Genomic DNA, 27,515 nt, shown 5'->3' on the forward strand with positions numbered 1-27,515 from the left:
AAGCAATTTAAGAGTTGAATTCCGTCATTATTCAGTTTCCAAATAAGCTTTTTTTTTTCTTTTGAGACAATCTCATTATCACCCGGGCTTCAGTGCAGTGGCAAAATCTCAGCTCACTGAAACCTCTGGCTCCCAGGTTCAAGTGATTCTCATGCCTCAGCCTCCCAAGTAGCTGGGACTACAGGTGTGCACCACCATGTTTGGCTAATTTTTGTATTTATTTTTAGTAGACATGGGGTTCCACCTTGTTGGCCAGGCTGGTCTTGAACTCCTGACCTCAGGTGATCTGCCCATCTTGGCATCACAAAGTATTGGCCTTACAGGTGTAAGCCACTGTGTCTGGCAAAAAAAAAAAAAAAAAAAAAAAATCGGTATTTTTAAGATAAAAGTATACTTTAAATGTAAATGTAACTCTTCAAAGGTCTACTTCTTTCAAAGTCATATACAAATAATTTTTCTTTTTAACAACTTTAGTTTTGGATTTTTTCCTATACTCAGCAGTCTGATTTAGTGTAATGTCTGAAGTTTGAGAGATAGGTATTTCTACTGTGAATTATCTATATTTACATAAACAATTTTGGATTAAATATTTTTATATTTACTGTATCTGCAAAAATATATTTTAGTATAAACTCTTTTGTGTTTTATAATTCTGTAGTTTTTGTAAAAATGTTTTTCCAAATTTATTAAATTTGCACGGTCATTCAATATAAATTCCCTGATGTTTAGCAAAGTTGGAACAACTACCTAAGGTTTTCCTGTAGTACAAAATGTGTACAATAAAATCTGTGATACAAGTAAAGGCACTACAACCCTCTTTATATTTGTAATGTTTTTCCTCAAAATAAATATTCTTCTGTATTTTAAGGGCTTTTATTTTCTGAAAGATCTAGTGACAATAATTGTACTTTTAATACTTTATTTAATATGAACTCTCTGGTGTTGAATAAGATGTGAGAAGATATTAGTGGCATTCACAATTTTTTTTTCCCAGTCTCTCTGTTGCCCAGGCTAGTATATAAATGCTTTCCTTTGCAATAAGGCATGAGTATTGGTTAAATGTGTGCCACATTGTTTATTCTAGTAGTTTTCTCCAGTATATTATCTTACCTACAATCAAGTGTGACAGCCATTTAAAGGCTTTGTCACATTCTTCACATTTCTAGGATTTCTCATTCATATGATTTCTTTTATATTCAGAAAAGTCTGAGGTGTTGCCAAAAGCATTGTCACATCTTTCAGGTTTGTAGAGTCTCTCATGTATGAATTAGCCTATGTTTCTTAAGAATTGAGGATCTGTTAGAGGCTTTCCCACATTCTTCACACATGCATGGTTTCTCTCCAGTATGAGTTGTCTTATATGTAGTAAGCCTTAAGGACTGGTTAAAGGCTTTGCCACATTCCACACAATTATAGGAATTCCCTCCAGTATGAATTACATGAATGTTTAGTAAGGATTGAGGAACAGCTAAAAGGCTTGCCACATTCTTCACATTTGTAGGGTTTCCCTCCTGTATAAATTCCCTTATGTTCAGTAAGGGTTGAGAACTAATGAAAAGCTTTGCCACGTTTTTCACATTTGTAGGGCTTTTCCTCCAGTATGAATTCTTTTATGAGTAGTAAGGTGTGAGGAACAGTTGAAGTCTTTATCACATTCTTCGCATTTGTAGGGTTTCTCTCCAGTATGAATTCTCTTATGTTCCACAAGGTTTGAGGACCGGTTGAAGCCTTTGTCACATTCTTCACGTTTGTAGTGTTTCTCTCCAGCATGAATTTTCTTATGTGTAATAAAGATTGAGGACTGTTTAAAAGCTTTGCCACATTCTTCACCTTTGTAGATTTTCTCTCCAGTATGAATTTTCTTATGTTTACTAGACTGAGAATCAGCTGAAGGATTTACCACATTCTTCACATTTTTAGGGATTCTCTCCAGTATGAATTTTCTTATGATAACTAACAGTTGAGGATGACTTAAAAGCTTTGCCACATTCTTCACATTTGTAGGGTTTCTCTCCAGTATGAATTCTCTTGTGTCTAGTAAGGCTTGAGGATCTGCTGAAGGCTTTGCCACATTCTTCACATTTGTAGGGTTTCTCTCCAGTATGAATTATCTTATGTTCAGTAAGGATCGAGGACCAGCTGAAGGCTTTGCCACATTCTTCACATTTGTAGCGTTTCTCTCCAGTATGAATTATCTTATGTTTAGTAAGGATTGAGAACGTACTAAAGCCTTTGCCACATTCTTCACATTTGTAAGGTTTCTCTGCAGCATGAATTCTCTTGTGTTTAGTAAAGCTTGAGGACCAGGTGAAGGCTTTGCCACATTCTTCACATTTGTAGGGTTTCTCTCCAGCATGAATTCTCTTGTGTTCAGTAAGGCTTGAGGACCAGCTGAAGGCTTTGCCACATTCTTCACACTTGTAGGGTTTCTCTCCAGTATGAATTCTCTTATGTTCCATGAGCTTTGAGGATGAGTTGGAAGCTTTGCCACATTCTTCACATTTGTAGGGCTTCTCTTCAGCATGAATTGCCTTATGTGTATTAAGGGTTGAGACCTTACTAAAGGCTTTGCCACATCCTTCACATTTGTAGGGTTTCTCTCCAGTATGAATAATCTTATGTTTAGTAAGGATTGAGGATCGATTAAAAGCTTTCCCGCATTCTTCACATTTGTAGGGTTTCTCTCCAGCATGAATTCTCTTGTGTTCAGTAAGGCTTGAGGACCAGCTGAAGGCTTTGCCACATTCTTCACACTTGTAGGGTTTCTCTCCAGTATGAATTCTCTTATGTTCCATGAGCTTTGAGGACGAGTTGGAAGCTTTGCCACATTCTTCACATTTGTAGGGCTTCTCTTCAGCATGAATTGCCTTATGTGTATTAAGGGTTGAGACGCTACTAAATCCTTTGCCACATTCTTCACATTTGTAGGGTTTCTCTCCAGTATGAATTATCTTATGTTTAGTAAGGATTGAGGATCGATTAAAAGCTTTGCCACATTCTTCACATTTGTAGGGTTTCTCTCCAGTATGAATTACCTTATGTTTAGTAAGGATTGAGAACTTACTAAAGGCTTTGCCACATTCTTCACATTTGTAGGGTTTCTCTCCAGTATGAATACTCTTATAATAAGTAAGGGTTGAGGACCAGTTAAAAGCTTTGCCATTTTCTTCACATTTGTAGGAATTCTCTCTAGTATAAATTCTTTCATGTTGAGATAGGTGTGAAAGCATGCAAAATGATCTGACATATTCTTTACATTTCAAACCTTTCTCTCCAGTATGCCTTATCTTATGTCTGTTTGAATTTGAACATTTATGAAAGACGTTTGCATATTTGCCACATTGAAATACTTTGCTCTGTGTAGTTGTTAAACTCTGGTTAAGTTTATTATAACCTTCTTTGTGCACGTTACACTCATCCACATTGGTACAACTAATTTTTAAGTGTAAATTCTCATGTCCACATTTGTCATATCTTCTCAATATCATTTTTTGGAAAGAATCTTCTATGCCTTGCTCTGGCCAAAACTCTTGGGAAAAATGAGAACATATAACTGAAAAGAAATAAAAATAACAAATTAATCTACATATTAGACTCAGATAAGTACAGTTTCCAAATCTAACCTATAAAATTATTCAAACTACATAAGCAAGACGACATTGCAATATGACACAGGCCCTAATTCTTCATAGATATATAAATGTAATAAAAACATATAGACCAAAATACATATGTGAATAATTTATACATGAGTTAAGTGTGTGCATTTCCTCAATTAAGCCCAATGCAAAGAGCCACATAGAAAACAAGAAAAGTTTGTTAAATTTACCCAATACAACTCTTTCTGCTCCTCAATATTACCTAGTCCCTTCAGAAGCAAATTGTCCATTTCTGATTTTTTTTTTTTTTTAAGGAAAGTAAAATATTGACACATCCAATTTAATTTTTGTCTTCTATGGCTCTTTCCACACACTGGTTTCTGTCTCTCATGACATAAAGTGCTGAAATACATGGTGGTATACTTTGAAATGAAAGTTTGAGCCTGCTGAGATCAAAGGTAAATGCACTGCAGCAGAGCACTGCAGTGCCACAGAGAGAGTACAGGTGTACCAAGTGATTACTTTTCAGAAGAAACATAAATAGTCTCTTTTAACTAAAAATAAACACAAAATTTCAGACAAGACAAACCTGAAGATGTTTGAGAGACCCACATAATCTCTAGCCAAGACCATTATTTTCTGACTATGCCAGGACAAAGCTACATTATAAATTTTGTGACAGGTGGCCTTTTTAAATGTCCAAATCTCAAAGATTACAGTCTATACAAAATAGGGCAATATAATCTTATCAAAAATATTATAAAGTTTTCAGAAAGAAACCATTGAAAATGTATATACTAATTTTAAAAATTGAATAGCACTCAATGAGTGAAGCAGGAACACAAAAGACTATAGAAAATGAGAAAAATGAGGATAAGAACAAAAATAACCAGTGAATTGTCAACAAAAGATTTGCAGGATAGAAGAGAACAGTGTGATATAGTCAAAGTTCTAAAAAAAAAAAAAAAAAGCAAACAAAAAAAAGAAGCTATAAAGTGAGAATAAATACCATCAGCAAATCTGTCCTGCCTAAAAGAAAAAAAAAAAAAGAGCTTTCAAAATAACCAAATTCTTAAAAAGTATATTTTGCACTGCATACGTCTTCCATAGGAAAGATGCTGAAAGTAGTTCTTACCACTGAAAATAACATAATGTAAGAAAACAACACCTAGTCATATAAAAATACATTATTTTCTAGGAAAGATATGCACACACAAAAAAATTGAATTTCTAGCATTATTCTAATGGTGCAGAAAACATTTTTAATTATTCTCTAACATTTGAGAGATAAAAGCACAGGAATTATTATAAACATCTGTTAATGAATATACAACATAAATAGATAAACTTAGCAACATCAGTGAAAAATTTAAGAGCAGACATAATAAGGAGGACTTTTTTATGCAACTGAAGTTAATTTTTCACCTGATTAAAATATATTGTTTTATTTTTAGAGGTTTTATGTAATCCCCAAGATACCACACAAAAAAATCTGTATACATACACAAAAGAAAAATAAGAAAATGAAAGCATATCAATACGAAAACCAGAAAGAAACAAAGGAAGACAGAAAGAGAAAATGAGGGACAAGATGAAAGAATTAAATAGAATAGGTAATAAAATAAAAGTAACTCCTTTACTTTCAGAAAATTATTTAAATATACGGAAAATTAACTTTCAAATCAACAGAATTTTAATAGATTTATTAACATTTTTTCTTTTGAGACAAAGTTTTACTCTTGTTGCCCAGGCTGGAGTGCAATGACACTATCTCAGCTCACCGTAACCTCTGCCACCCAGGTTCAAGCAGTTCTCCTGCCTCACACTCCCGAGTAGCTGGGATTACAAAAGTCTACCAACACTACCAGTTAATTTATGTATTTTTAGTAGAGATGAGGTTTCACAATGTTGGCCAGGCTGGTCTGGAACCCCTCACACCTTGGGTGATCCACCTGCCTTGGCCACCTAAAGTGCTAGGATTATAGGCACGAGCCGCCATGCCCAGGTTATTTAAAAAATTTTAAATATCAAGATCCAACTTGCCTTTCTACAAGAGTCAGTTGAAATCTAATGTTAAAAAGACTCAAAGTGGCAAGATGGAAGTAGACATTTCATGCAAATATTAGTCAAGTGAGAGCAGAAGAGGTCAAAATAATATTACACAAGCTAAATCTTAAGTCAAAGACTCATATTTTATAAAATGCACTTGACAATGAAACTCCAAAGAGACAAAGAAAGATATTAAAAAATAATAGATTAACTGGGAATCTGTGAAAAATCTGAATGTGTGTATGTGTGTGTCTCACATTAGGATTACAAATATATAAAGCAAATATTGATAGAATAGAAGAAACACAAGGAGATCAATATAATTATAGTAGGATATTATTATACCACACTTTCGGTAATAAAAATGAAAATAGAGGAGGCTGGCAAGATGGCCAAATAGGAACAGCTCTGATCTGCAGCTCCCAGCAAGACTGACACAGAAGGTGGGTGGTTTCTGCATTTCCAACTGAGGTACCCGGTTTATCTCAACGGGACTGGTTGAACAGTGGATGCAGCTCATGGAGGGTGAGCCGAAGTGGGGTGCAGTGTTGCCTCACCCAGGAAGTGCAAGGGGTTGGGGAACTCCCTCTCCTAGCCAAAGGAAGGGTTTAGGGACTGTACCATAAAGAACAGTGCTCTCCAGCCCAGATACTGTGCTTTTCCATGGTCTTCACAACCCACAGACCAGAAGATTCCCTCTGGTGCCTATGACACCAGGGCCCTGGGTTTCAAGCACAAAACTGGGAGGCCGTTTGGGCAGACACCAAACTAGCTGCAAGAGTTTTTTCTTTTTTTTCCCCATACCCCAGTATAGTGCCCAGAAGGCCAGTGAGACAGAACCATTCACTCCCCTGGAAAGAAGGCTGAAGCCAGGGAGTCAAGTGGCCTGGCTCAGTGGGTCCCACACCATGGAGCCCAGCAAACTAGGACCCACTGGCTTGAAATTCTGGCTGCAAGCACAGCAGTCTAAGCTTGACCTGGGAAGCTCGAGCTTGGTGGGGGAAGGGCGTCTGCCATTGCTGAGGCTTGAGTAGGCAGCTTTACCCTATAAAGCCACCCAGAAGATTGAACTGGGTGGAGCCCACCGCAGCTAGCAAGACCAGACTGTATCTCCAGGTTCCTCCTCTTTGGGCAGGGCATCTTTGAAAAAAAAAAAAAAAAAAAAAAAAAAGGCAGCAGCCACAGTCGGGGGCATATAGTAAAAACACCCATCTCCCTGGGACAGAGCACCTGGGGGAAGGGACAGCTGGGAGCACAGCTTCAGCAGACTTAAACATCCCTGCTGGACAACTCTGAAGAGAGCAGTGCATCTACCAGCACAGCGTTCAAGCGCTGCTAAGGGTCATACTGCCACCTCAAGTTGGTCCCTGACATCCGTGTCTCCTGATTAAGAGACACCTCCCAGTAGAAGCTGATAGAGACCTCATACAAGAGAGCTCTGGCTGGCATCTGGCAGGTGGCCTCTGGGACAAACCTTCCAGAGGAAGGAACAGGCAGCAATCTTTGTTATTCTGCAGCCTCTGCTGGTGATACCCAGGAAAAAGGGTCTGGAGTGGACCTCCAGCAAGGTCTAGCAGATCTGCAGCAGGGAGGCCTGACTGTTAAAAGGAAAACTAACAAACAGAAAGGAATAGAAGCAACATCTACAAAAAGGATGTTTACTCAGAGACACCATCCGAAGGTCATCAACATCAAAGACCAAAAGTCAATAAATCCATAAAGATGGGGAGAAACCAGTGCAAAAAGGCTGAAAATTCCAAAAACCAGAATGCCTATTCTCCTCCAAAGGATCACAACTCATCACCAGCAAAAAAAAAAAAACAAAACTGAATGGAGAATGAGTTTGACGAATTGACAAATTCAAATTTGCAAATTTCAGAGGTGGGTAATAACAAACTCCTCCAAGCTAAAGGAGCGTGTTCTAACCCAATGCCAGGAAGCTAAGAACCTTGAAAAAAGGTTAGAAGGATTGCTAATGAGAATAATCAGTTTAGAGAAGAACATAAATGACCTGATGGAGATGAAAAACACAGCACGAGAACTTTGTGAAGCATGCATAAGTATCAATAGCTGAATCGATAATGCAGAAGAAAGGATATCAGAGATTGAAGATCAGCTTAATGAAATAAAGCAAGAATACAAGATTAGAGAAAAAAGAATAAAGAGAAACAAACAAAGCCTCCAAGAAATATGGGACTATGAAAGGACCAAATCTTCGTTTGATTGGGGTACCTGAAAGTGATGGGGAGAATGGAACCAAGTAGGAAAACACTCTTCAGGATATCATCCAGGAGAATGTCCCCAACATAGCACGACAGGCCAACATTCAAATTCAGAAAATACAGAGAACACCACAAAGATGCTCCTCAAGAATAGCAACCCCAAGAGAGAGAATCGTCAGATTCACCAAGGTTGAAATGAAGAAAAAAATGTTGAGGGCAGCCACACAGAAATGTAGGGTTACCCACAAAGCAAAGCCCATCAGACTAACAGTGGATCTCTCTGCAGAAACCCTACAAGCCAGAAGACTGGGGGGCCAATATTCAACATTCTTAAAGATAGGAATTTTCAACCCAGAATTTCATATCCAGCCAAACTAAGCTTCATAAGCGAAGGTGAAATAAAATCCTTTACAGACAAGCAAATGCTGAGAGATTTTGTCACCACCAGGCCTGCCTTACAAGAGCTCCTAAAGGAAGCACTGAACATCAAAAGGAACAACTGGTAAACCAGCCACTGCAAAAACATACCAAATTGTAAAGACCATCGACACTATGAAGAAACTGCATCAACTAATGGGCAAAATAACCAGCTAGCATCATAATGACAGGATCAAATTCACACATAACAATATTAACCTTAAATGTAAACAGGCTAAATGCCCCAATTAAAAGACACAGACTGGCAAATTGAATAAAGATTCAAGATCCAACAAAGTGCTGTATTCAGGAGATCCATCTCACATGCAAAGACACATATAGGCTCAAAATAAATTGATGGAGGAATATTTACCAAGCAAATGGAAAGCAAAAGAAAGCAGGGGCTGCAATTCTATTCTCTGATAAAACAGATGTTCAGCCAACAAAGATCAAAAGAGACAAAGATGGGCATTACATAATGGTAAAAGGATCAATGCAACAAGAAGAGCTAACTATCGTAAATATATATGCGCCCAACACAGGAGCACCCAGAATCATAAAGCAAGTTCTTAAAGACCTACAAAGAAACTTAGATTCCCATACTGTAATAGTGGGAGACTTTAACACCCCACTGTCAATATTAGACAGATAAATGAGACAAAAAACTAACAAGGATGTTCAGGACTTGAACTCAAGCAGACCTAATAGACATCTACAGGGCTCTACCCCAAATCAACAGAATATACATTCTTCTCAGCATCACATCACACTTATTCTAAAATTAACCACATAATTGGAAGTAAAACAGTCCTCAGCAAAAGTAAAAAAACAGAAATAATAACAAACAGTCTCTCAGACCACAGTGCAATCAAATTAGAACTCAGGATTGAGAAACTCACGCAAAACCGTACAATTACATGGAAAATTAACAACCTGCTCCTGAATGACTACAGGGTAAATAATTAAATGAAGGCAGAAATAAAAAAGTTCTTTGAAACCAATGAGAACAAAGACAAAACATACCAGAATCTCTGGGACACAGACAAAGCAGCAGTGTCTACAAAATTTGTAGCACTAAATGCCCACAAGAGAAAGCAGGAAAGATCTAAAATTGACAACTTAAAATCACAATTAAAAGAACTAGAGAAGAACAATCAAATTCAAACCCTAGCAGAATACAAGAAATAACTAAGAACAGAGCAGAACTGAAGGAGATAGACACAAAAAACCCTTCAAAAAAATCAGTGAATCCAGGAGCTATTTTTTTTTTCAAAAAGATCAACAAAATAGATAGACTGCTAGCCAGTCTAAAAAGGAAGAAAGGAGAGAAGAATCAAATAGATGCAATCAAAAATAATAAAGGGGACACCGCCACTGATTCCACAGAAATACAAACTACCATGAGAGAATACTATAAACGTCTCTATGCAAATAAACTAGAAAATCTAGAAGAAATGAATAAATCCCAGGACACATACACCCTCCCAAGTCTAAATCAGGAAGAAGTCAAATCCCTGCATAGACCAATAACAAGTTCTGAAATTGAGGCGGTACTTATGGGCCTACCAACCAAAAATGTCCAGAATCTGATGGATTCACAGCCTTTGTACCAGAGGTACAAAGAAGAGCCGATTCTTTCTGAAACTATTCCCAACAATAGAAAAAGAGGGACTCTTCCATAACTCATTTTATGAGGCCAGCATCATCCTGATACCAAAGCCTGGCAGAGACACAACAAAAAAAGAAAATTTCAGGCCAATATCCCTGATGAACACTGATGCAAAACTCCTCAATAAAATACTGGTAAACCGAATCCAGCAGCACATCAAAAAGCTTATCCACCAAGATCAAGTTGGCTTCATCCCTGGAATGCAAGGTTTGTTCAACATACACAAATCAATAAATGTAATCTATCACATAAACAGAACCAAAGACAAAAACCACATGATTATCTCAATAGATGCAGGAAAGGCTTTTGACAAAATTCAACACCTTTCGTGCTAAAAACTCTCACTAAACTAGGTAGAGATGGAACATATCTCAAAATAATAAGATGTATTTATGACAAACCCACAGACAATATCATACTGAATGGGCAAAACTGTAAGCATTCCCTTTGAAAACTGGCACAAGACAAGGATGCCCTCTCTCACCACTCCTATTCAACATAGTATTGGAAGTTCTGGTGAGGGCAATCAGGCAAGAAAAAGAAATAAATGATATTCAAATAGGAAAAGAGGAAGTCAAATAGTCTCTATTTGCAGATGACATGTTTGTATATTTAGAAAACCCCATTGTCTCAGCCCAAAATCTACCTAAGCTGATAAGCAACTTCAGCAAAGTCTCAGGATAGAAAATCAATGTGAAAAAATCACAAGCATTCTTATACACCAATAATAGAGAGCCAAATCATGAGTGAACTCCCATTTACAATTGCTACAAAGAGAATAAAATACCTAGGAATACAACTTACAAGGGATGTGAAGGAACTCTTCAAGGAGAACTACAAACCACAGCTCAAGAAAATAAGAGAGGACACAAACAAATGGAAGAACATTCCACGCTCATGCATAGGAACAATCAATATCGTGAAAATGGCCATACTGCCCAAAGTAATTTACAGATTCAATGCCATTCCCATCAAGCTACCATTTACTTTCTTCACAGAATTAGAAAAAACTACTTTAAATTTCATATGGAACCAAAAAAAAAATCTCACATGGCCAAGGCAATCCTAAGCAAAAAGAACAAAGCTGGAGGCATCATGATACCTGACTTCAAATTATACTACAAGGCTACAGTAACCAAAACAGTATGGTACTGGTATCCAAACAGATATATAGACAACTGAAACAGAACAGAGCCCTCAGAAATAACCTCACACATCTACAACCATCTGATCTTTGACAAACCTGACAAAAACAAGAAATGGGGAAAGGATTCCCTATTTAATAAATGATGTTGAAAAAACTTGCTAGCCATATGCAGAAAAATGAAACTGGACCCCTTCCTTACACCTTATACAAAAATTAACTCAAATTGATTTAAAGATGTAAAAGATTTAAAGATGATGTAATACCCCAAACCATAAAAATCCTAGAAGAAAACCTAGAGAATACTACTCAGGACACAAGCATGGGCAAATACTTCATGACTAAAAGAGCAAAAGCAATGGCAATGAAAGCCAAAATTGACAAAAGGGACCTAATTTAACTAAAGAGCTTCTACACAGCAAAAGAAACTATCATCAGAGTGAACAGGCAACCTACAGAATGGGAGAAAAATTTTGCAATCTATCCATCTGACAAAGGGCTAATATCCAGGATCTACAAAGAACTTAAACAAATTTACAAGAAAAAAAACAAACAACCCCATCAAAAATTGGGCAAAGGATATGAACAGACACTTCTCAAAAGAAGACATTTATGCAGCGAACAGACACATGAAAAAAAGCACATCATTACTGGTCATTAGAGAAATGTAAGTCAAAACCAAAATGAGATACCATCTCACACCAGTTAGAATGGAGATCATTAAGAAGCCAGGAAACAACAGATGCTGCAAAGATGTGGAGAAGTAGAAAAGCTTTTACACTGCTGAGTGGAGTGTAAATTAGTTCAGCCATTGTGGAAGACAATGTGGCGATTCCTCAAGGATCTAGAACTAGAAATACCATTTGACCCAGTAATCCCATTACTGGGTATATAATCAAAAGTTTATAAATCATTCTACTATAAAGACACATGCACATGTATGTTTACTGCAGCACTATTCACAATAGCAAAGATTTGGAACCAAGCCAAATGCCCATCAGTAATATACTGGATAAAGAAAATGTGGTACATATACACCATGGAATACTATGCAGCCATAAAAAAAATGAATTCACATCCTTTGCAGGGACACGGATGAAGCTGGAAACCATCATTCTCAGCAAACTAACACAAGAACAGAAAACAAAACACAGCATCTTCTCAAATATACAGGAATTTAACAAAACACTCGAGCACGCTCTTATGCAAAGGTTGTAATAATACTGTAAAGATGTTCATCCTGCTCAATGTAATCTACACAGTTAATGAAATGTTCCTCAAATTTCTCACTGCATTTTTGAAAAAATAGAAACAGCAACCCTAAAAGTATATAGAATCTCAAAAGACAATACCCAACAATCTTAAAATAATAATAATAATAAAGCAATGTTGCAGGCATTAAAGTTCCTGATTTCAAAAGACATTCCAAGCTACAGAATTAAAACAATCTGGTTAAGTATAAGGATGAAAAATTAGACTAATAAAATAGAATGCAACATATATATATATATATATATATATATATATATATACATACACACTTTAAGATATATGGTCATATGAGGAGTCATTTACATAGCAATAATTATTACTGTAAACTAATAAAGGCAATGCAAATTTGTTACCAAATCATTCAGTAAATATAATTTGAAATATAAAAATACTGGAATATCACTCAGTTTTCAAAAGCAGAAATTATAAAGCAATTATAAAGATAAATCTTGATAACATTATGCAAAATGAAATGAGTCAGCCATAAAAAGACAAAGATTCTATGAGATAGATAGATATAAAGCAATTACACTCTTAGAAACAGATAAAAAGAAAAAGGTCCCCTATTTGCTTAACCCCCAACAGCAAGAAAGTCTGTCAGTCATCCACGACAAAAATGTCTTAATGAGAGAATCAGACATCATGGTTAACATCTGTAATGACAGCTACATGGTATAGAAAGGTTGGAGAATTGCTGCAGGCCAAAACTTTAAGACCAACCTGGGTTATGTAGTGAGACCTTATCTCAAAAATAAGTGCCTTTAAGAGAGCTTTGAGATCCAGTGAGGGAATTGTGAAACTTTGCTAAAGCCCAAGATTGAGGAGCACCCTTTTCAGAAGGCAAGCTTTCATTCAGGTGGCAAACTAGAGGACCCCTGCTCTTGACTACAGACCAGAAAATGTCCCACCCTACTTGGTCCCACAGAGAATTTTGAACTTACTCTGTAACCATCCCAAACTCCTCCCAGCCACAGTCTGTGAGAGGTCTTGGTCCTCCAGAGGCTTGGAGACTGATACCCATTTAGAGCCATGCTGGCAGGCCTGCAGACCTTGGTCCTTACTGTCGTCCCAATAGCAGTTCCATGACTCAGTTCCAGCTTCCTAAGCCACAGTTCATGGCCAGTTCTGCCTACATAGAATCCCACAGTGACCTCAGAAATCCTCTCTGGTACTCAATGAAAAGCCATACTAATCCACATCCTAATATAAAGCCCACCATATGCAGACTTGACTGTAGAAACCTGCCCTAGCGTCTACCCTACTGAGCAACGTCCTGAAGGATATTTACTCTGTCCAAAAATAAAATGGGAATTACAACTGCCCAAGCCCCTTGTAATAAGCCAACCCTAGTGCAGAGCCAGCAGCCTTGTGACCAAGCTACAACCCCACTCTACTACAAACCCAGAGGGCATTCTATCACCCTGGGGGCCCCAAAAAAGAAGATTTTTACCCTCTGAAACCAGTTTATAAAAATTTTAAGAGGTGTTTACTCCTTCAAATTCAGACACCAATGCAAAAGCATACTGTGCCACTGACAATGCTTCTATCTTAACACAGCACTTGAAGTATGTGGAAGAAAAATTAGTCAAAAAAATTTTTAAGTCACTGAAATTGAAGGCAAATAAGTAAAACATTGCTGTTTGTAGATCATGCAATGTTCTCTATAAAAAACCATAAACAGTACATTAAAATCTTTTCAAACTAATAAATACACTCAGCAAATTAGCAAAATATAAAATTAACATACAAGTATAAGTTATGATTCCATACACTTAAACTATCTGATAAAATAGAAAAAGAAAACCATCTTATTTACAATAGCACTAAAATAATAAATATCTGAGAACAAATTTAATTGAGGAGCTGAAAAACTTTTCAAGGATTTATCAATGAAAAATGAGAGAACACAAATAAATTTAAATATATTTTATGTCTATAGATTCAAATAAATGTTAAAATATCATATTACCCAAAGTGATCTCTAGATTCAGTAAACTCTGTCAATATTCCAGTGTTTTTCTTTCACAGTAATGAAAAATACAATCATAAAATTTACATGAAGCTACAAGAAACTGTGAATAGCCAAAGCAATCTTGAGGAAAAATAAAAAAGCAGAAGGATATTATACTTTATAATTTCAAACTATATTTCAAGACTATAGTAATAAAAACAGAATGAAATGTGCAGAAAAATGAACCAAAAAAACCCCAATGATACAGAAACCACTACTCTCACACACTTCAGAGATGATGGAAAAAGAGAACTTAAAAGATAGTTTAACATGGAGTACCTTAAAATTACGCGGATATCTATGTGTCCACAAAAACAAAAAAAAGTCAGATTGCACTCTCTTGTATGCCATGAACAGTACTTTGGCTATCACTGTAAACTTGAAGGAAAATTACTTAAGGGAAAGAAGAATTCTTAGAAATTTTAAAAGCATAAGTTAGAAGATGCCCCTGTGTGAGAGAAAATTAAAAAATAAAAATAAAAATTAGCTTTCCAGAAACAACTACTTTTGGAACACAGCTTCCCAAATGACTTTAAGGACTGGCTTCCTCATTGACTTTGGACTTCTCATTCATGTTGTCTGTATTCACTCTCACCTACCTGGGGGTTCTTCCACCATCTCATGTCTCTTCATATTCCAGGGCTCTTTTCCTTGCTCCAGAAAAATGATCAGGTCTGGCTTAAAGGCAGCAATACCTGTTTTATTAAAAATGAACAACATCCATCTTGCTCATATTCTCCAATTACCAACTTAGTAATGTGCTCAGTAAAGAGGATGTAATAGAATATTCTAATACATTTATCCCAAAATACTAAATTATAACATGTCTGTTGAAGAAAAACGTTATGTGCAGTTGCTTAAAGTTCTGTTGAAACAGTCTGGAGCTCAAGTTAATTCACAAACATTAAGCTTCTTCAGAAGGTTATTGCGCATAACCCATGGTTTCTGCAGGCAGGTACTCTCACTGTGGAAAACTGGAACAGAGTAGGAGATGGATTGAAATGGGTTCGTCAAAAAGGTCTTAAAGGAGACCCTTCTGTGTTTTCTGCTTGGGGTTTGGTTTGCACGGTCCTACTGCCGCTGTCTCCTTCTTATTTTGTCAGACAACAGGAGTCAGGTTTTGAGTCTCAAGAATTAAAAAGATAATTTCTTCCTCCAACAGCGCCTATTGAAAATAATGAGCAGGAGAAAGGGAAGAATTGTCCATTTGCTAAGCAGGAAAAAGGAGAGGAGAATTGGCCTCTGCTACCCCCTCCAATAACAGAAGTAGAAACTCCCATACAAAAAATTTTGCATGCTGATGCTGCGGCTAGGGAACCTTTAGGACCTTGTGCTTTTCCTATTACTGTGAGGCCTGATCCAAACAATCTGCAACATCTTTTACATGAGCACACTCCTGTACAGTTTAAATTACTGAAAGAATTAAAAGCTAGTGTGGTTAATAATGGAGTGCAAAGCCCATTCACTATAGGGCTGTTAGAATTGGTGTTCAGAGCCATGCACCTCCCACTCTTTGATATAAAACATTTGGGTTGCACTTGCTTATCCGCCAGTGCATACCTGATATGGAGCTTAAACTGGCAAGAAATGTGTGCAGATCAGGCTAGGTAGAATCACACTGCTGGTCAAGGAAACATTAGAGAGAAAATGATGACAGGCAATGGCCCATTTTCAGATCTGGTACAATAATTAACATTCCCAGATGCTGCTTACCACTGGTCTGCCTTAGCCGCCAAGCATGCTTGGAGCACAATTCCTGAAGAGGGAGTTCCAGTGCAGTCTTTCTACATGTCATGCAGGGATCATGAGAGCCTTATGCACAATATATCACATGGCTGCAAGAGGCAGTGTGGCATCAGATCCCTAATGCCCCTGCTGCAGAAATGCTTACCATAATTCTAACCTATGAAAATGTAAATGCAGATTGCAAGTGTGCAATGGCTCCTGTGAGATCCACACAAAGCTTGGGGAATTACCTTAAAGCTTGTCAGAATGCAGGAACTGAATTTCATTGTTCTACAATGTTAGCACAAGCAATGGCTAGTTTAGTAGTTGACAGATCTAAAAGGAGCCAAGGTTCAAACCCTAAAGTGGGAAAATGTTACAACTGTGGAAAAACTGGACATTTCAAAAAGGAATGCCACCAGATCTCAGGACAGAAAGGACCTTACAATGCGGTGCTCCCCACCCCGAGCAGAAAAAACACCAGGATTCTGTCCTCGCTGTAACAAAGGGAATCACTGGGCTGTAACAATGGACATCATTGGGCGAATCAGTGCCGCTCAAAATTTCATCATAATAACACCCCCGCTAGGAAACAAGAAGGGGCCCTGGACCCAGTCCCCTCAAACAATGACGGCATTCCCAGTTCAGGCCACAACCCCACTTCAAGGGTTGGTCCCAGGAGAAACATTGATTCCCTCTCCCCAGGAACACCAGGAAGTGCACGATTAGATCTCCCAGTCAGAGAAAGAATTACATTAGTTATAGGAGACAAACCTACCAAAGTACCCACTGTCATTTGGGGACCTATACCAGCAGGATACATGGGACTAATTTTAGGCAAAAGCTGCCTTAACTTGCAAGGCATCACTGTAATCCCAGGAGTAGTTGACTCCAATTATAAAGGAGAAATCCAAGTAGTTTTAATGTCACAAGATCTTTGGGTTTTTGAACCAGGGGAATATATAGTGCAATTATTGCTTATGCCCTGCAAATTACACCCTTTTCCACAAAAGGAGAAATGAGGAAATAAAGGGTTTGGGAGCACAACTACATGAGAAATCTATCCATCACAACTCATAGCCTCTAACAGACTCACCTGTGTAGTACAAACTAAAGGAAAGAAATTTTATGGGCTTATGGAAACAGGAGCCGATGTGTCAGTAATACCCAGTAAGGATTAGCCCCCGTCTTGGCACATTTTGGGTCGCATCCCTGGGCTATGGATTTCTAATAATCTGTCCAAGCCTTGGGCTGCCACCCCTGCTTTGCACTTTGTGAAACTTCTTCTAACTCAACTTACTTATCGTGTCCGCAGACCCTTAGGCATGATAATTTTTGCTATTGTTTCCTTGGTCACACTAATAACTTCTATTGTGATGTCCTCTGTAGCTTTGCATAGTTCTATTCAACAGCTCAGTATGTGGAGAACTGGATGCAGAGGCATACAGCCAACCAAGCATGGCTACTAAAGAATAAAATTAACACTGAGTTATAAACAAGTGGCAATGTTGAAATCCATGGTTCTATGGTTAGGAGAACAATTACAAAACTTACAATTGAAAGAGCAATTGTGCTATCATTTAAATCACACTCATATATGTGTAACCAACGTAGAATATAACCAAAGCGAGTATCCATGGGACCTTGTGAAAGCCCATTTGCGGGGAGCTTTCACACCCAACATCACCTTTGATACTGGTGAATTACAAAACAAAATTCTTGATTTAAATAAGCAAACTCAAGAGTTTCAGCCTTCTTTAGAAGACTGGACCGAATTCCAGCAAGGCCTGGAGAGCCTCAATCCTTGGACCTATCTAAAGCACCACACAAACATCTCATATGTAGTTTTTGGAGTAATGCTGTTCTGTCTCTGTTTTCTGTTCATAGTCTGTAAAATCCGACGGACCAATCACAAAATGAGAGCTGCCCAACCTGGCCTTACGTTTATTTGATTAATGCATAAACAGGAAGGGGGAAATGTTGGGAGCTGAATGCCTGAGTGTTGTGACCAACTCAGCATTCCACTGGAGGCTATATGATCAAACAGCAAACTGTTTATCATGAGTGCAGAATGTGGGCAAACTTGCTTCTGCTCCTGCCACCAGAAGGTATACTGAGGACAGTCACTCCCTGGTGCCATGCTCCTTGGAGTTATCTACTGGAACATCTGGAGAGTACTGTTCAAAGAATACAGTCATGCAGGCCTGCATTAAGTCAAGCAGCTGACCACAACCTCCCCCTTCTCCCTATCTCCTTTACTCAATAAATACAAAGGGCTATAGAAGCTCAGGACCCTTGTTCACCAGAAGCAAGGAGTCCACGACCCCTTCTTCCAAATATACTCTTTTGTCTTTGTCTGTATTCTCGCATTCATCCTCCTTTGTTCAGTCCAATAAGGTCTGCAGCAAAATGAAACCTGTAGTATATACTAGGAATTGCGTATTAAAGTTATTCTCACCCAGGAAGACCAGGTTTCTGTAGTTCTCTAACATCACATTCCTATATAAATTCTGCTGTGTAGAATCCAGGCATTGCCACTCCTCCAGAGAGAATTCTATGGCCACATCCCTAAATGTCAATGCTCCCTGGAAAACACACACAAACACATATATTTACCAATTGGTCATGGGCAGAACTTTTAATGTGACTCAAGGTAAAATGGAGAGAGTAGAGAGAGCTGGTTCTGACTTATATGAATGACTGAAATTATTCAATAAAATAGTTTTCAACACAGAAATGTTCACTAATGTATTCTCTAACTCTGAGAAAAGAAAGTGGTATAAGATCCATAACATCTGTGTATATGTAATATTTTTCTAGATAATAAAGTATAAAATTGAGGGCAAAAACACTAACATGTACAATTTTGAGTGCTATATTTACATCATACAGAATTGTGTGCCAGGCATGGTGGCTCATGCCTGTAATCCCAGCACTTTGGGAGGCTGAGGTGGGCAGATCACCTGAGGTTGGGAGTTCGAGACCAGCCTGACCAACATGGTGAAACCCCGTCTCTACTAAAAACACAAAATTAGCCATGCATGGTGGCACATGGCTGTAATCCTAGCTACTCGGGAGGCTGAGGCAGGAGAATTGCTTGAACCCAGGAGGCGGAGGCTGCAGTGAGCCAAGATTCATTGCACTCTAGCTTGGGCAACAAGAGTGAAACTCCATCTCAAAAAAAAAAAAAAAAATTCATCGTGTGTATTTTTCAGATGGAAAAGACATAGTTTTGCATATTATTCAGATGGAATAGACATGTTGAGTTAGAAGGTATGACTCAAATTTTAATGTGTGCAATAAGCTAGAGATCCTGTTAATGCAATTTTTTTTTTTTCAGATCTGGGATAAAGTCTGAGTTGCTGAATTTCTAATAAGCTCATCAGTATGCCAATGTTTTTGGCCCAAAAAGACTATTTTTTAAAACATCCAGTAATAGAATGAGCCTGTGTTTTTCTGTTTTTCTGGTTTGTAAACAAAGATAAGAGCCTTCATTTTCCAAAAACAGACAAATGCAAAGGAAACCTAAGAAAGAAGGGCAGCTGTCAGATTAAATGTTTTGGTTTATTCACATCAGCTGCATAAAGATATTTAATGATGAAGAGGAAAATGATTAATTCCATAGTAAAAAAATGTGTCAGAGAGCTTATCAACCAAGTGATTTATTAACATCAATTACACTAGAACACATTTTTTTAATGTCCTGATGTACCCAGAAGGACACAGTATTACTGCTGAGATATTGCCCCCCCTCTGAAAGGTAAATTATAGTCTGAATTTAACCATAAGGAAACATTAGTTTTATGGAAAGTTCAAGATAGAGATATCTCCCATGTTCTGTAACTTTTAGTAGTGATTTTAAATAGTATTTCTTCAGCACTGAGAGAGCAGGTATCTCCTAACAATTTTTTTTAGAATTTTCTGGGTAATAAATACCACACTGCTTCAATGAGTGTTTTCTTAATCTTGTACTGCATAGACATAATAAAGAACACAGATGAAACCACAACATTACATGTTCTCTGTCTTCACTAAAAACCCCAGGTTTTCCCCAATATGAATTTTGAGTATCTACACTTTCCCATGTTCAACAGCCACAAAGGGACATTTTTAATATTGCAGATTATAAATTCATAGTGAGATTTCTGCATGGCATATAAGAAGCCATAATATAGAGAAAGCTCTGGTATATAGAAAAAAATATATTTTTCAGAGACTTTGATTATTGTAAGAATTTTTTAAAGCAGTTAAGACAAACTCATTAGGGAGGAAAAACACAGGTACACAGAAGTACAGGTTTGCAAGTACTAAACGTATGTTTCCTGGAGGAAGAATAGTGGACACAGATCTTGATCTCAGACATGTTTAGGTGAAAAAGAAAAGGCCATTTTTTTCTCTTTCTCCTCCTTCCCTAGGATTCTTTCTCAGATAAAATTTTCTAGACAAATTACACCTGCATCTTGAGAATATGCCTTTAAAAGTGTCAGCACCACAGGTCTACCTGCTGTCACCACATCCACAGGCAGAAGAACCAAGACAGAAAAACTCCATCCATTTCTGTCCTTTATAGCAGAAGAGATGAAGAAACAATGAGTAGCTCCACAGAGATAAAAATATGCTTTTCTTTATTTTGTCCTCAGGAGCCATCCCCTGACACAGGCACCAGCAATTTCTGCCACAGTAATGTAAATATGGGCCACGGTGTACTGTCCCTACCAAATCCAAACAGAACAGGTTCTTGGACCACCCTTTAATGCAAAGATGGAACTTAACTCTCATGAATGTATTATGAATTCCTCATACTTGATTCTGGCCTCACCTTAGAGTCACATGAGCCACTTAATTAAAACAACATGAATGCTTCCACCAAGAACAATAAACAGAATCCATGGAAAGGGCACAAGTAAAGAGAGTTCTGCAAAATGGCCAGGTGATACTAATTAGAAGCCTGGGCTGATAACCCCTTAACTAAGCATTTCCTCTCAAGCTCTAAGGAGCTTATAAATGACTTGGTAATTTTGGCCCCACTCTATGAAATGTAATTCTGCAGGTATGGAAAGGGTCCATAAATGGGTCACTTAAACAAGTGCGCTGTCAATAATGATGTTGCTCCCACTGGGCTTATTATTAGCATTAATTAGAGAAATGAGGCAGAACACAGATACTTCTGGTACAAATGAAAACAATCATTCTTCATCCTAAAGTATTATATTATTTGCTGACTCTTTAAAATTTACAGAGAAAACAGAAAGCAGCAATTTCTGAGTAAGTCAGCATTTGGAAAACAACGTGTGCACATGTACTAATGCAATGTTTATTAAGCAGGTACTATGTGCTCAATAGGATGTTAGAGTACTGTGATAGCACATTATGTGATTTAATCCTAATAACACCCTTTCAGTTGATACTAAGTGTTCAATAATTCCAAGGCTTTAAAGGACCCAGCATTTTTATTTCTATTTGTTTATCTGTCATTGATTTTTCAAAAAATGCATAGAATAAAAGCTAACTATAGACAGATGAAAGGGATACAGATGGAAAGAGCTTAATAAAATTTAGATAAATTTTTATTGTGTTTATATTTACTTTCTTGTGACTTGTGAATCAACTGCAAAGAATAGAAAACAGAACAGAAAACAGAAATCAGCTGCAGGAACAGAAAACAAGTTGCTAAATAATGTCTCTGCAAGCACTGGTTTTAATTAAAAATTTGTAAAGTAAGATTCTATAATACATACTTTATATTTCCCATTTATCTGCTTTTAAGTCTCAGAAAATGTTGAACACCAGCTCTAAAAAGGCAACAGTATTCATGACCCAAAACTCTGATCTCTTCTAATCAGTTCTTTGAGGCAAGACTCCAGGGTAGGGCCAGACATAAATAAGGCCTCCAAAAAGGGTGAATATGAACAGGGCTGGGGCAGAGTGTAGAGCCAATGTACAATTCTGTTCTCTATGGCACTGGGGGGTATTGTAAGTTCTTTTTTTTTAAATCTTACTTAAGTAAACTTAAATCTGAGTTTGTATAATTTTAATCTTTTTTAGCCACTGCCCTGTAAATTTTATATTACATACTAATAAGAAATTTAAAAAAAAATCCCTTAAGGTTTTCTATAATAATTTTTTTAGAAGAAAAATAAGTATTCTTAGCAGGGTAAAAGAACTACAAATAATAATAACAACTCTTCCAATTATAAGTTCAGGTGTAGACATCAGAAACCACAATATAAAGAAAGTGGCTCAAATAAAGCCCAAGTTGTTTTTTGCACATCTATTTATTGTACCCACCATATGATGCATAATTCAACCATTTTTCCAGTTGTTAGTTTAGACTAAAACTTCCAGGATGGTAGGAATCATGACTGCTTCATCAATTTTTTTTTTTTTTTTTTTTTGAGACTGAGTCTCACTTTGTTGCGGAGGCTGGAGTGCAATGGTGTGATCTCGGCTCACTGTAGTCTCCACCTAACAGGTTAAAGAGATTCTCCTGCCTCAGCCTCCCAAGTAGCCAGGACTACAGGCATGAGCCACCACACCTGGCTAAAATATGTTGGTTTATTCAACACATTATTCAATATTATTCAATATGGTGAAATCCCTATTTCACCATGTTGGCCAAGCTGGTCTCGAACTCCTGACCTCAGGTGATCCACCATCTTGGCTTCCCAAAGTACTGGGATTACAGGTATGAGACACTGCACCCAGCCTGCTTCTTCTATTTTTTTTTATGACTATATGAAATTGAAGCAATTAGTTTATCTCTTTGAGCCTCCAGACCTCCTGATTTTTTACTCAAGTACCAGGGATCTGTTCTGGACATTCTCAAATGTCTCAGAGATTCGTAGGTGATTGTGAGAGGGTTCCCAGTGAACCTGGGCTGATGGTCCAATGATAAGACAGACAGAGAAGACTCAGGATGATTCTAAATAAAAAATGGAACTACTTTGGCTGAACTCCAGAATCTGGGTTGCCTGTCCTGATTTGCTAGCTGTTGGGTAAGTAGAAGGACAAGAATACTCTACTCCAGTATCACATTTTACAAGTAGGTATAGTTGTGGTGTGGCTCTGGATACTTTGTGGCCTTAAGATGATTGTTTACACTTACAGATTCTGCCATCAGATTCTATTTACTCCTGGAGCCTCTCACATAACTGGGGCAGGTTAATGAAGATGTGAAAGGTCAAAAGGCCACACTCTCAAAAAAGGAAATTAAAATGTCTATGTTGATATCTCACAATGCAGAAAATGCCTCCTGTTGGTTTTCTGTAAATTCTCAATCCAAAGTCTGGCTTTGCCTTGTAAATTCCAGGCAGAGGCCAGGTCTTATTTACAAATTCTAGGTGAAATCAACCTCACTCTGCATTTTTGGGTGTTACAGCAAGTAAAGTGAAATGAAAGGAGAGATCCCCTCTTAGAGGCTGCTCTAGAACATTCTAAATAATATTTTACCTGAAAAAAGCTGACACAACATGAACATAAGCAGACAGTTTATTTGGGTCAAGCTTAAGGATTTTAACTTGAGACAAAATATTCAAGTTGCCTGGAATCTACACTTTCATTAGCAGCACTTACAAGTGGATTTGTAAAGGCAAAAAAAAAAAAAAAAAAAAAAAAAAAGAGGTACAGTGAATGAGCTGATACGAAATTGGTTGTGAGAAATTTTACTTATGTAAAGAAATAACTTTAATAATTGATTGCATATACATCAAGGTTAAGGGTATGGAATTTAGTGTCCAGAGTGGAATTATTGGTCTAATTTAAAGCTACTTGTGGCAATAGTGAACAGTTTCAAGAGATAAATACATAGCTGAAGAAAAGGGAGAAAAACATAACTGTGCTCATTTTAATGGCTCTCTGACTTTGATAACTAAAAGGACTTGCATTCCTCAGATAAAAACTTTTTTTTTTCTTTTCAATTCTCAAGACCTAGATTTAGAATTTGGAGCTGCAAATTCAGGTCCTGCATGGGTAAAGTAGCAGCAGGTGGTATCTGAATATTTGTGGGCATTATAGCATGAGGAGGGAGGGAGAACTGGATTCTCACGTCTACAGGTCTACTCAATGCACATATTTTACTCTGATTGGGTTTCTGTGCCCCATGGTCACTGAATCAGTTTCAGGTCTGAAGACACAAGTCATTGAAAGAGGTAAAACGGTTAATATCTGACCTATAAAGTTTGTAGAAATCTGTTCTAGCCTCTCTAAAAGTGACTGCAGAGGATGATAGATACCAAGTAGGCAGAGACACAATTCCACCTGCATATTTAGGGTACAGCATGCACTTCGCAGCACAATTGTGAATGGACTGGAAGCCTGAGTGGAAAAGGCCCATCTATAGTAAAGCTTAGTTGGTACCCTATGTGTTTATATTATGTCTGGTAATTCTAGACAAGGTTTGGAAAATACAGTTAGAAGCAAAATTTTCTTCAGCCCCAGAGGAATTAAATAATAACAGAACAGAAAGAAAACTGTTTTATTACACAATTACATGTGAATGTGACATGCATTACAGTCAATTTGCTCAAGAGATTGCAAAGACAGAAAGACAGTCACCATAATTCATCTACAAGTAGAATTTACAGCACCATGTCATACATAGTTCATCCTGAATTCATCTGGTAGCTGGGAAGGCCATCCCTGTATGCTAACTGGTTATAATCAATGACAAAGTAAAGCTTTCACATCTTCATGACTAGAGGTAGTTTTGCAACTTGAACCCCAGGGCCTGCTGAAGGTAGGCTTTGACTCTTCTACAAAAAGTGTTGATTCGGGTGCTATCTTTTTGGCTATTTACATTTTAAAGCAATAGCTCTCTACTCTCTGAGCACTGGGCTAGAACACTCCTGCTTTCCCTCTCTTGGTGGCTAGTGTACTCTCTTGACCCCACCATCTGCCACTGAGGCACAGCCCACAGCACAGGGCTCACAGCTGGAAACTCACATCTTAGGTGAACCCCATTTGCCACAGCAGCACTCCAGTGCCACATCAGACAGTGAAGCCTGAGCAGCAGGAGGAGAGCCTGCAGGCCTCCTGGGTAGAATTGCACCTTCACAATAATAGAAAAGGGAGCACTGTTTCAGCCTCAGTTTTTATTTATAATGGCGGCATGAAAAAAATACTGCTGGATTTTAGCATGAGTCCAGATAGAGATAGCTCTGAGAGTTCTCACTGTGACAGCCCACGTCTTTCACAGACACCACGGAATACTAATAGGGCTTCTGAAACAGATACACAATGCATTAGAGAGAAAAACAGCTCTTATTCTGAGAAAGATTATATTGAGAGAAAAAAGTTAAAAGTGTCTTAAGAAAAAACTGAGATTAGATATAAGATTGATCAAGTCAGCCAGAAAATATTTCCCTAAGAAGAATTTCTCTCCAAACACCCAAAGTGCATAGCTACTCTCAGCAAGAGAAACATGAGCATTATTGAATAAAGGGGGTATATTCTCAGCACAATTTTTTTTTTTTGAGATGGAGTTTCATTCTTGTTGCCCAGGCTGGAGTGCAATGGCATGATCTTGGCTCACTGCAACCTCTGCCTCCTGGGCTCAAGCGATTCTCCTGTCTCAGCCTCCCAAATAGCTGGGACTATAGACACACACCACCACACCTGGCTAATTCTGTATTTTTGGTAGAAACGAGGTTTCACCATGTTGTCCAGGCTGGTCTCAAACTCCTGACCTCAGGTGATCCACCCACCTTGGCCTCCCAAAGTGTTGAGATTACAGGCATGAGCCACAGCGCCTAGCTCTCAGCAGAATTTTAAAAGATTTATCTTCCATCTCTGCTGCTCTCTTATTTCCTAACCATTGAATGTGAGATCTACACTGGAATATATCTGACAACTTCCACCAGCACTTTTTTATAAAAAATTGAAATCTGACTGTGTTAATATAGTAGAATATATTAGAGCTTGCAACATACCTAACTGGAGAGCTATTACAGTTTTTGAGTAGCCATATCACCTGTCTTTATTTATCCTGTAATAGCAGCATACTAATTTGGTAAAATATATGACACTAAAATTATGCCTACCTATAATTTTTCCTATTGGGTAAATTAATAAGCATGTCAGACTAACATCTACTGTAACAATTTAATGGTAAAATTTTTGGGATAGCAGATATGAATATATAAGTATGAATAATTTTATGTACTAGTCATAATGTATGTAAGATTTTTTAAAATTATCTGAACTATAATTCAGTTGAAACACTATATTTCAAAAGTATGAATAACAATATTAAAATAAGGAATTCAATCAAAGTAAATATTGTGGCCTTAAATTTATACTATTCTAGAAAATACTGTTTAATTTACATGAATGCAGGTTGTCTACAAACACTACACATAACTATACTAACTGTACTGAAGCAACCCAAGTACAACAGACTCCACTGTTCAGTTTATACACTGAACTCTTCTGGCTTTCGCAGTGTAAGTATTTCAGCCTGCAAATAATCACCTTGGATAATCGGGTTTCTGCCAAAGAACTTACTCAGGATCTTTTAGTCTTTATTATTCTGTATTGCTAAATTAATCCGATCTTTGTGCTTAACTTTATTAGGCTCTTGAAATAAATTTTACTCTCAACAAATCTGTGTCTACTTTAAAGACTAAAGATAAAAATATATATAATCTTTTGCCAAGAAAAAAGGAAAGCAATGAATCTCAGGTCCCAGATAAAGACAATTCTGAGTCAAAAGAATGACAAAAGGTTTGTTTCATTTCTAATATGATTTACATATATTTCAAAAAGCAGAAGAAATATATACATATAATCTAAACCTTTTTTTAAAAATCAGCAAGTTATCCACCCTTATTTTCACATATGAGAATAAAGCCTCTTATTTCTCATTTATATTTTCTCTTACAAAAGCCAGGTCTCTGGACAAGTTCTTGAACTCTTGGACATCTGAATTTTGCACACTGTGTGCACTTAAAAGAATGTTTATGGGGGGAAAAGCAGAAGAGAGAAAATTGTTATAAAAAAAAACCATGGGTTCACATGAATAAAGCAAATTATTAGAGACCTATGAAGAGACTTAGAATCTGACAGTAATAATCGGGGACTACATCTCACAGGCACTAATGGAGAGATCATTGAAGAAAATCAACAACAATATTAGGACCTGAACTCAACACCTGACCAAATAAATAGTCCTAATAGACATCTACAGAACTCTTCATCTAAAAAATACCATAACATACATTCTTCTCATCACCACATGGCACATACTCTAAAATTGACCACACAATCAGAAAAAAAACAATTCTCAGCAAATTCAAAAATCCCAAAACGATACAAGGCACACACACAGTTTACAGCTTAAGAGAAACACAATTCAATACCAATAAAACAACTGGAAACTATACAATTAAATAAAAATTAAATGGCCTACACT

General features: G+C 37.3%; 1 protein-coding gene and 1 pseudogene across 12 annotated transcripts in view; one reads left to right on the forward strand and one right to left on the reverse strand.

The window, feature by feature from the left end:
• Positions 1 to 1,055: 1,055 nt before the first annotated feature.
• ZNF676 (zinc finger protein 676) overlaps positions 1,056 to 27,515 on the reverse strand; it is an 81,216-nt gene continuing 54,756 nt past the window's right edge. For 9 of the 12 annotated variants that reach the window (XM_047438360.1, XM_047438355.1, XM_047438358.1 and 6 more), the window contains 3 exons: positions 18,567 to 18,693; positions 14,983 to 15,078; positions 1,056 to 3,553 (listed from right to left, as the gene is read on the reverse strand). In XM_047438360.1, coding sequence (XP_047294316.1) covers positions 1,917 to 3,553; positions 14,983 to 15,078; positions 18,567 to 18,600 — 1,767 coding nt within the window. In that variant the 5' untranslated portion in view covers positions 18,601 to 18,693 and the 3' untranslated portion in view covers positions 1,056 to 1,916. The other 3 variants (NM_001001411.3, XM_047438362.1, XM_047438361.1) reach the window with 3 other exon arrangements.
• On the forward strand, positions 25,095 to 25,970 carry BNIP3P30 (BCL2 interacting protein 3 pseudogene 30; annotated as a pseudogene).

The sequence above is a fragment of the Homo sapiens genome, chromosome 19 (assembly GCF_000001405.40).
Source record: "Homo sapiens chromosome 19, GRCh38.p14 Primary Assembly".
In the NCBI taxonomy this organism is placed as follows: domain Eukaryota; kingdom Metazoa; phylum Chordata; class Mammalia; order Primates; family Hominidae; genus Homo; species Homo sapiens.